The sequence below is a fragment of the Homo sapiens genome, chromosome Y (genome assembly GCF_000001405.40).
Source record: "Homo sapiens chromosome Y, GRCh38.p14 Primary Assembly".
Taxonomy (NCBI): domain Eukaryota; kingdom Metazoa; phylum Chordata; class Mammalia; order Primates; family Hominidae; genus Homo; species Homo sapiens.
Window position 1 is genome coordinate 12319662 of NC_000024.10, and position 10906 is coordinate 12330567.

At 42.5% G+C, this 10906-nt stretch overlaps 1 pseudogene, besides 5 other annotated features; it reads left to right on the plus strand.

Moving 5' to 3' along the window:
- Positions 1 to 1307: part of a mobile genetic element, noted in NCBI's record as "direction; forward", that runs on past the window's edge.
- Positions 1 to 1621: part of a non allelic homologous recombination region, noted in NCBI's record as "sub-region ID2 (identical sequence 2), recombines with sub-region ID2' (identical sequence 2') within the AZFa HERV15yq2 recombination region", that runs on past the window's edge. NCBI's record gives the evidence for it as "EXISTENCE:DNA dot blot assay evidence [ECO:0005522][PMID:1634226]" and "EXISTENCE:nucleotide sequencing assay evidence [ECO:0000219][PMID:11030762, PMID:11001932]".
- Positions 1 to 1810: part of a biological region, named in NCBI's record as "AZFa HERV15yq1 recombination region", that runs on past the window's edge. NCBI's record gives its function as "recombination_partner: LOC108004538".
- Positions 103 to 1810: a meiotic recombination region, noted in NCBI's record as "meiotic double-strand break mapped by DNA meiotic recombinase 1 chromatin immunoprecipitation followed by single-stranded DNA enrichment and sequencing in the germ cells of some male individuals with PRDM9 A/A and PRDM9 A/B genotypes". NCBI's record gives the evidence for it as "EXISTENCE:chromatin immunoprecipitation-seq evidence [ECO:0000229][PMID:25395542]".
- Positions 1308 to 1784: a mobile genetic element, noted in NCBI's record as "direction; forward".
- On the plus strand, positions 1916 to 3596 carry FAM8A4P (family with sequence similarity 8 member A4, pseudogene; annotated as a pseudogene).

Sequence of the window (10906 nt, forward strand, 5' to 3'; positions counted from 1 at the left end):
CTGAAAACATAGCTGGCAGCTTAGGAATTTCCTCATGCTATGTAAGTGAAGGAACTCATATGGGGGACCAGCGGCAATGGGAGGCAAAGGAATTAATGCCACAACATAAATTCACTTTGCCTAATCCTGCCAGTGAACCAACAGCCTCAGCTAGTGTTTGGTTGTTAAAAACCTCCATAATTGGAAAGTACTGTATCGCCTGTTGGGGAAAGGCTTTCACAGAGGCAATGGGAAAAACAATAAGCCTAGGGCAACAGTATTATGATGAGAGTAAAAACAAAACTCTACGGAGAAACTCCCAGAACGACTCCTAGTTACCAGATCCAAATGCTTTCTCTTGATTCTCTACCCTAAGCCACTCTTGGCATCAGCTAAAGATTCCAAATGCTTGGAAAGCACCCTCTGGCCTATATTGGGTCTGTGGAGCATGGGCATATCGGCAACTGCTGGCTAAATGGACAGGGGCATGTGTGTTAGAAACAATCAAGCCATCCCTCTTTTTAATTCCTCTAAAGCAAGGGGAACTCTTAGGGTATCCAGTTTATGATGAAAATAAAAGAACTAGAAAAAGCATAATGACAAAAATAGACACAAATGTCAAAAAGGATGCAGACATAGGAGACTGGAAGGATAATGAATGGCCTCCTGAAAGAATCATTAAATAGTATGGGCCCGCTATCTGAGCGCAAGTTGGGTCATGGGAATACCGCACCCCAATCTATATGCTCAACCGCATCATAAGGTTGCAGGCAGTCCTTGAAATAATAACCAATGAAATGTCAAGGAAACTAGATTTATTGATAACACAAGCAACACAAATGAGAAATGCTACATATCAGAATAGATTGGCTTTAGATTACCTCTTAGCCTCAGAAGGAGGAGTATGTGGAAAATTTAATTTAACCAGTTGTTGCCTAGAAATGGATGATAATGGCCAAGCTCTAATGGAAACCACAGCTAGAATGTCCAAGTTGGCCCATGTTCCAGTTCAGACTTGGTCTGGATGGTCCCTGGATTCCTTGTTTGGAGGATGGTTCTCAATGTTTGGGGGATTCAAAACCCTCATTGGTGGGTTTTTGTTTATTCTTGGCATCTGCCTCATCCTCCCTTGCCTTTTACCCCTGTATATTAGGAGTATTTGTCAACTATAGAGGCAGTAGTAACCCGAAACACTACCATGCTATTGACGGCATTAACCAAATATCAGCCACTGCCAATAAAAGAAACAGCTCAGCTCCGGGAAGAGATGGCAAATAGTGGTGCTTTCTATTAACATCTTTGTTTTAAAAAGCACCAAATGGGGGAAATGGAAGAGGAATTGAAAGAAATTAAAGAACGTGTAAGCAAAAACTCAGTCGTATATAAGAAAACCCAGTTCCCCCTGAGGAAGAGAAAGAGCTGGAGTCCTTTAAAATTAACTGCCTGTTTTTCTGTGGCTAGTGAGCCTTATCTCTCCCTTTCCCAGGTATTGTGAAGACCCTGTTTCTCTAGCTGTGCAGCTGCAAGGTCACTAGGCAGATAATCTCAAGTCGTAAAACATGTTGTTTCTTGAAAAGTAAGAACTGATGTAATGCATATCTCAATTGAATAACTGTCTTTGTTTCTCTCTTCTGTAATATGCCTCACCCTGCACAGATCTCCTCCAACCCCACAAAATGCTTAAAAGGTAGCTTGACTCTGTTCACAGCTCAGTTCTTTCGGTGTTAATCTGACTGGGTCGGTGCACCTAAATAATTAAATAATTCCTCCTCAACCCCTAGGTCTCTCTGATTCCTTAATTATCCTGCTGCAAATACTCAGAATTTATTATCACTCTTTAGTGCAGTAAAGAAGTTTTGCCCATGGTTCCTGAACAGGGGACTATGGAGTTGGATGAATGGGAGAGAATTGGAAGAGATTTTAAAAAGGCGTATCAAGATGGAGCAGTGACAGATACCATGGAGGGTGCTTCTGAGGTGACAATGGCAGAGGTGCCCAAGGAAGCCTGAGGCTGCTCTCCCAGTCATGACAAGGGCAGAGAGGACCACAAGCCCATCCCTTCCCTGAGAGGCCCTTCTGCTGCCACTGTCCCATGCCCCCGTGTCAACCCCAGGCTGAACCCCAGGCCCTGGGCTGGCCCACAGCCCCCAGCCTCACAGTTGCCACCACCAACAAATCAGAGCTGCCCAGCAAGATCAGGAAGTGTGGGGAGGCAGCCTCCAGCTCTGGTGCAGGGCTGCAGGGGCAGGCAGGCTGTGAAGTGCCCAAGGCACTGGCACCGTGGGAGAGAGGGGGGCAGCTGAGCACCCAAGAGTGCTCCTGGCAAGTGCATGACTGGCTGTCGGAGTTCTGCTGCAGCTATGTCACCTGGTGCAGTGGCCCAGCCACCTTCCCTGCCTGCTGCAGGCCCCAACCATTCCCACAGAGCTTCCCTTCGGGCAGTGCCACCATCCCTGCACATGGGCTATTATAAACCCTTCTACTTCCAGTCTACTGTACCGGGCCTGACCTGGGGACAGCTGCTGGCATCAGCACCCCTGCTCCAGTTGCAGGCCTGGGACCCTGGGCTCCTCATGTGTAGCCATCAGTCCAGGCCACTCCAGTGATGAAGGGAGGATCTACAGCCCCTTTGAGAAGCCCAAGTGACCCTCGGTGACAGGCAGGCAGAGAATACATTATTCCATCCTTGGGCCACAGATTTATGACAGAGAAGATGGATTTCTTTATTCTTTCCTTTGTGAAAACAACAATTGTCTTAAGCATTATGCACCTCAGTGGGATAAATGATATCTCTAAGTTTGCTATGCATTATATAATGGAAGAAATAGATGAAGACAGATCAATGGAAGACTTGCAGAAAATAATGGTTGTGGCTCTTATATACAGATTATTTGTTTGTTTTATGAGATAATTTGCATTTGGGGAGCAGGTGGATCTACCCCAGGGAAGTTCCTGCTGGGGCTTCGAGTTGTGACATGTGATATATTAGTAGTGCTTATTGCACCAAGTCAGGTTTTAGTGATTCCTTCCTCAACTGTTAGCATTACAATGTCTGCTATATGAGCTTTGATCAAAAATTTTTGTATAGCTTCTTTTTTCCCTGATTGCATCACACTGCTGTTTTTTCCGCATAATTGAATAGCCTATGACATTGTAGCAGGAACCATTGTGGTAAAAAGAAATGGGGTCAGATGATGCCCCCCAAAGCCCTTATTACCACACAGTATAGTAACAAGACTAAATTATGTATCAAGGCCATCAGTATCCCTGGGTTACACTAACTTATGATTTAGAAATTAAAGCAGTCATTCCAGTGTGATGCAAGTGACTACTCTGAAAATATCGATTTTACTTGAATGCCAAAGAACTTTTCCAGAAGAAAAACCTATTAAATTCAAGTATTAAAATTTTTAGATCAAAAAGGCAAATGATTTTATAGACAATGGACTATATATACTTTCTTAAGATCTAAGAATTTGCTGAAAGTATTTTCAGCTTTTAAATCTCCAAATGAAACTTTAAAGTTTATTTTGGTTTATCTCAAAATAATGGAAAATGTCCAATTGTGTTTTGTAAACATGTATGTAACTCACCTTTTAGTTCACACTTCCTAGGGAGCCACCAGAGAAGGTCCCCACAGAAGTTAGCGGACCCTTACCCTCAGGAACAGTCAGTTTATTTCTTGGAAGTTCTAGTCTAAATTTAAAAGGTGTTACTGTGCATAAGGGATTAATTGACTCTCACTATACCAGAGAAATTCAATTAATTATTAGTTCCTCAAATCTGTGGTCTGCCTCTCCAGGGGAAAGAATTGCTTAGTTGTTGCTGTTACCTTACATGAAACTAGGAAGCAGCACAATGAAAAAAACAGGAGGCTTTGGTAATACTTAACCCGCAGGAAAAGCTGTGTATTGGATTAATCAAGTGTCTGACAAAAGACCTATTTGCACAGTAACTATTCAGGGAAAATATTTTGAAGGACTAGTACATACTAGAGCTGATGTCTCTAGTATTGCTATAAATCAATGGCCCTGGCACTGGCCTAAGCAAAAGGCAACCATCAGTATTGTTAGAGTAGAAGCTGCCTCAGAAATTTTTCAGTTTTCCTTGATTTTACCATGTCAAGGGCTGGATGGTCAGGAAGAGACAATTCAGGCTATCATTACATCTATTTCTGTTAATTTATGAGGTAGAGACTTATTGCAACAATGGGATGCTGAAATTTCTATTCCTATGGATCAGTAGAGTAATAATAGTAGACAAATGATGAAAAATATGGGATATCACCTGGGAAAAGGACTATAAAATGATAATTGGCCAATCAGAATCTTTAGAATTAAAAGGGCCAACAGATTGGACCAGATTGTGGTATCATTTTTCGTTAAGCCTCCAACTCCCATTCCTGTTTGGCTAACTGCCAAGGTTTGGGTGGAGCAATGGCCGCTGAGACAGAAAAAACTGGAGGCTTTAAAAGAACAGGTGCAGGAACAATTGCAAAAGGGACATACAGAGCCTGTTTTCTCCCCTTGGAATTCTCCTGTATTTGTCATTAAGAAAAAAATCAGGGAAATGGAAAATGTTAACAGATTTAAGGGCTGTTAATCCTGTGATTCAACCCATGGTTGTGCTACAACTGTCTCCAGAATTGGTTCCTTCCAATGGGTTCTTGGCTTTGCTAACTTCAAGAATGAAGCTGCAGACCCTTGCGGTGAGTGTTACAGTTCTTAAAGATGGTGTGTCCAGAGTTTGTTCCTTCAGATGTTCAGATGTGTCCAGAGTTTCTTCCTTCTGGTGGGTTCATGGTCTTGCTGACTTCAGGAGTGAAGCTGCAGACCTTCGCAGTGAGTGTTAAGGGTTCTTAAAGGTGGCACATCCAGAGTTGTTCATTCCTCCCAGTGGGTTCGTGGTCTTGCTGACTTTAGGAGTGAAGTTGCAGACCTTCATGGTGAGTGTTACAGTTCTTAAAGGTGGCGCATATGGAGTTGTTCATTCTTCCTGGTGGGTTGTGGTCTCGCTGACTTCAGGAGTGAGGCTGTAATCCTCTGCAGTGAGTGTTATAGCTCATAAAGCTAGTGTGGACCCAAAGAATGAGAAGCAGCAAGATTTATTGTGAAGAGCAAAAGAACAAAGCTTCCACAATGTGGAGGGGGACCCGAGCGGGTTGCCACTGCTGGCTTGGGAGGCCAGCTTTTATTCCCTTATTTGGCCCTGCCCACATCCTGCTGATTGGTCCATTTTACAGAGTGCTGATTAGTTCATTTTACAGAGTGCTGATTGGTGCTTTTACAAACCTTTAGCTAGACACGGAGCACTGACTGGTGCATTTTTACAGAGTGCTGATTGGTGTGTTTACAAACCTTTAGCTAGACACAGAGTGCTGATTGGTGCATTTACAATCCTTTAGCTAGACAGAAAAGTTCTCCAGGTCCCCACCCAACCTAGAAGCCCAGCCAGTTTCACCTCTCACAACCAGGCTGCCCTCCCCAACAATGATGCCTAAATAGTGGCCTCTCAGTAATAGATCTAAAGTATTGCTTTTTTTACCATTCCTCTAGCTGCCCAAGATTATGAAAAATTTGCTTTTACTGTTCTAAAGAAATTGTGCAACACTGTTCTGCCTGCCAAGTCCTGCATCAGCCACATCAAGGAACAGGAGTTAACCCAAGAGGTTAATCTCCAAATTCCATTGGCAGATGGATGTAACAAATATTTCTGCTTTTGGAAAACTGTCCTTTGTTCATGTTTCAGTAGATACCTATTGACATTTTATCGGGCCACATGTTAAACAGGGGAAGCTACAGCTCATGTTAAAAGACACCTTTTATCTAACTTTTCAGTTATGGGAATCCCAGAAAAAATCAAAACCGATAACAGCCCAGGATACTGTTGTAAAGCCATGGCTATATTTTTTCAACAATAGAACATTACCCATACAGTGTCCAGAATTTATTCCTTCCAGTGGGTTCTTGGTCTCGCTGACTTCAAGAATGAAGCTGCAGACCCTCATGGTGTGTGTTACAGTTCTTAAAGTGGTATGTCCAGATTTTGCTCTTTCAGATGTTCAGATGTGTTTGGAGTCTACTGCCGTACCACCCTAAACGTGCCCGATCTCGTCTGATGTGTTTGGAGTTTCTTCCTTCCAGTGGGTTCGTGGTCTCACTGACTTCAGGAGTGAAGCTACAGACCTTCGCGGTGAGTGTTAGAGCTCTTAAAGGTGGCACATCCAGAGTTGTTTGTTCCTCCTGGTGGGTTTGTGATCTCGCTGACTTCAGGGATGAAGCCGCAGACCCCTGCAGTGAGTGTTACAGCTCATAAAGGTAATGTACACCCACAGAGTAAGCAGCAGCAAGATTTATTGTGAAGAGCAAAAGAACAAAGCTTCCACAGCATGGAAGGGGACTCAAGCGGGTTGCCACTGCTGGCTTGGGTGGCCAGGTTTTATTCCCTTATTTGGCGCCACCCACATCCTGCTGATTGGTCCATTTTACTCAGTGCTGATTGGTACATTTACAATCCTTTAGCTAGACACAGAGTGCTGATTGGTGCATTTACAATCCTTTAGCTAGACACAAAAGTCCTTCAAGACCCCACCCAACCCAGAAGCCCAGCTGGCTTCACCTCTCAATACTATGGGTATTCCATATAACTCACAAGCACAAGCAATACTGGAAAGAGCTAATCGTACTTTAACAACTCAAATACAAAAGCAAAAGGGAGGGGACCAGGAATATAAGACACCACATATGCAATTGCATTTAGCTTTATTAACATTAAGTTTTTTTAATTTACAAAAAGATCAACCCATGACTGCAGCTGAACAACACCTGATGGGACAAAAGGATAAGAAAAAGGCTGGACAAGATATATGGTGGAGGGATGAACATACAAAGAGCTGGGGAAAAGGAAAGATAATTTTATGGGGAAGAGGATTTGCTTTTGTCTCTCCAGGTGACAATCAGGTACCTGTGTGGGTGCCCACCAAACGTCTGAAGATCTACCATGAATCACAGCATCTAGTGGATCCACCTGTACAGTGCAAATTGAAGAGGTTTAAGGATTGCTTTTAAGCCTCAATTTGTGTTCTCTGTGCTTTTTGCCAGAAGGGGCCTGCTTCTCATTATCAATGGTAAGTTTTATCCCATGGTAATTAACCAAAGAGGCAGAGGCTGAGTTACAAATGCTTCAACAATGGCATGCCTCCTGGCTACAGCCACAAAAGTTTTTGCTTCTGTTTCAGTAGATTTACTAACATGGGGGTGAAAGTATGCTTGTGTTTTTGCAGGAGACACAAACCATGTAGGTGCCCTCAAGATGTGTACAACCATGGAACAGGGGACTGGAAGGACCCATGGATCCCAACCACGGACCAGGTTCACCAAGCCATGCTGAGAAACTACTGGAGTGCCAGGGTTTTACCTATGCTTAACTGATCAATGCTTTTTAACTGAACTCCTCTCTACCGTGAATACAAGAGACCCTAATAGGCAGGCAAGAGTATCATCACCCCTATTCAGCAAGAAGAAGTTATAGAAGATGGACCTTCATCCTCCTGAAACCGCTAACATTAAAGGTTCTCTTGTAAAAGGGAAAGGGGAGATATGTAGGAAACGTTCAAACCAGAGCAACTCCATTTTGAATAAGGTCTAAGAAAAATGAAGCTGGATCACCAACCGGCAATTAAGGGCTACACAGCCTGCAATTGCCTTGCTCAATTAATTTTAAAAAAGGCCACCTTATGCTAATAATAATGACAGCTGTGGTGGTTTTTATGAAAAAGAGAAGGGGGGCATGTTGGGAGAAAAGCTGAGTGTTGGGAGAGAAGCTGAGGCAGGGCTTGCATTTCTGCTAGACTTGCTGGCTCCTTGCTTCTAGCACTCCCATTATCTCAAGCAGCCATATGTTTCTCATTCATTTGTACACTGTTTCCTTTCAACCCCCACATCCTCACCACCTGTTTATTTGTTTGAGCAGCAATAAATAGGGTGGGCTCCCAGAGCTCAGGGCCTTCGCATCCTCCACACTTGCAATGGCCCCCTCGTCCCACTTTCTCTCTCCAACTATCTTTTTCTCATTCCTTTGACTCTGCTGGACTTTGTCACCCCCACGACCTCATGTTGGGTCTGATCACCCCTACAGAGGGTCTTTTATGGATGCCTCAGAGAGCCAGCAGTACATTCCTTGGGGACTTGCCTGATCTGTTCCTGGGATAACCTAGCTTGGTTTCTCCAGAATTCCTGTTTTTGCTTTTCAGACTGAATCAACTGTGCACATGTGTGACCCAGACGTTCAGTGCTGCCAAAACAGCCAGTGCGTGTCTGTTTTGGCTGGAAGAAGACGTTTCTTCTGAGGAGCAGCCTCCCTGCTAAATCCAGCTGGCCTGGCCCTGACAGAACTGCATGTCAGGTAACTGGACTTTCTTGGGCTTTTTCTTACAGGCAAGCTTTTGCTCCTGCAGAGATGCTCCACGGCTTATTCTCAACAGAACACTCGTTTGCGCCAAACTGCGTCTTTTCAAACTGCATCTTTTCTGTCAATGTTTTATAAGCAATTTCCTTTCAAAATAATAATAATAATCAATGAAAATGTCAAGTACATATTTTACATGGGAGATTTCTAAACGTAATGTGTAAGAAAAATCAACAAGGGAAGATGTACCAAATGGGAGGCATTGCATCCACACTAGATTCTTGTCTTAGAGATGCTGAAGGTACATGCAGTGAACGTTGAGGAGATACTGGAGATGAAAAGCAAAATTGGGTTTGGGAACAGGGCCCAGGCAAAGCGCTGAAGACAGGCTTACTGCCCAGGGCTAGAGATCAGGGCAGGAATGGAAGGTTGTGATTCCTTCTCCCTGGAAGAGAATCAAAGGCTACCTTGTCAGTCTCGCATGGGTGTTTCCTCATCTGCTTCTTTTATCTTTCTTTTTATTGTATTGTATTATATTTTATTGCATTCTATATTTTATCATTTTGTTTTATTTTAAATTCAGACAGGATCTTGCCATGTTGCTCAGGCTGGTCTCAAACTCCTAGCCTCAAGTGATCCTCCCATCTCAGCCTCCCAAAGTGCTGGATTACAAGTGTGAGCCACCATGCCCAGCCTCTTGTAACTTTCTGAAGATATCTTGTATCTTTAGAATAAAAAATAGAAAGTTTTATTCAGTAGCAAAAACTCAATCTGGAGCAAAATGTGTAACATTCTAAAGGTTAAAGTGCAGAGTTCTTTGGAAAAGAAAAATCTGCTTTTATTGTGTCACTAAATAGAGAAATACATCACTTCAGAGTTAGGCCACAGACTTGATATCTAACCGTACGTCATATGACTTTTTAACAATGACTGAGGGTCGTTTATTTAGACACCAATATACCAGCCAGATAAAACAAATACAACCAGTCATGTTCCCCAGGCAAGTCAGAAGCAGCCCATAATATGCTTTTCCTTGAAAAATGATGTACATATACATAATGTATATATGTATGTTTTATATATATATGTGTACTATACATGCACATATAAACATTTTTATTTAAAAATGTACATATATTAATGTTATGTATATATATACACATGTTTTATATGTATGTGTATATGTTGTGTAAACATGCATGTGCATGTTATGGATATATGTATTATATGTTATCTACATGCATGTACATACATTATATACATGTACATTTACACATGTGTGAACATAAGCATGTACATATATGTATATATGCTTATATGTTATACATTTATATTTACATGTGCATTTATAACATGTATTTATATGTATGTGTACATATATGTACACATTTAGGTATATGTACATATATGTTTAAAAGCATGTTTTTATATCTATTTTATTTATTTTTACAAAGAAAAACATGCATATTTTAATAATGAAAAATTATGCAGCTAGGCACAGTGGATCACGCCTGTAATCCCAGCACTTTGACAGGCCAAGGTGGGTGGATCACCTGAGGTCAGGAGTTGGAGACCAGCCTGGCCAACTTAATGAAACCCCACATTTACTAAAAATACAAAAATTAGCCGGGTGTGGTGGCACACACCTGTAACCCCAGCTACTCCAAAGGCTGAGGCAGGAGAATCGCTTAAACCAGGGAGGTGGAGGTCACAGTGAGCTGAGATAGCACCACTTCACTCCAGCCTGGATGACAGGGTGAGACTCCATCTCAAAAAAACAAAAAGTTATACTATATTATATATAATAAATATGAATAGATAACTTAAAATATAAGTGAAAACATTCCTTTAGGCCCCCTGTGAGGAAATGATTTAAGATTTGTTGCCAAAAATCACAAAGTAAAAGCAATTACCATTAAGGCACACACCTGTGGCAGGGAAAAGAAGCATTTCTGATGTCCCTCCTAATACTAATTTTGAGACACACCATCAAAACCGTTTACTTGTAAAAATGAGTCAGTCCAGAGTGTGCCAGCGTTTCAGCTCCTCATCCTAGAAGTAGAGTAGTTTCCACCCCCACATAAGGTAGGCTATGTGACTTTTCACAGACCCAGCATATGGCTGCACATGAAGTTGTGAAGAGACGGCAGGTGGAACTCTATGAAACCCTGTCCTTGTAGGTCATGGATGGTTGAATAATAGGGACCATTGCATAGGGTTACTTTCCATAGAGTAACTTCCCAACAATGATCATGCAGTGCCTCAGAAACTGCTTCCTGCCCTCTTGGTCTTGGTCTTTTCTTTTTTTGGGAAGCAGTCACTCTGTCACCCAAGCTGGAGTGCAGTGGCACAATCTCAGCTCAGTGAAACCTCTGCCTCCCGGGTTCACGTGATTCTCCTACCTCAGCCTCACCACTAGCTAGGATTACAGGCATGTGCCACCACACCTAGCTAATTTTTGTATTTTTAGTAGAGACAGGGTTTTGCCATGTTGGCCAGGCTGGTTTTTAACTCCTGACCT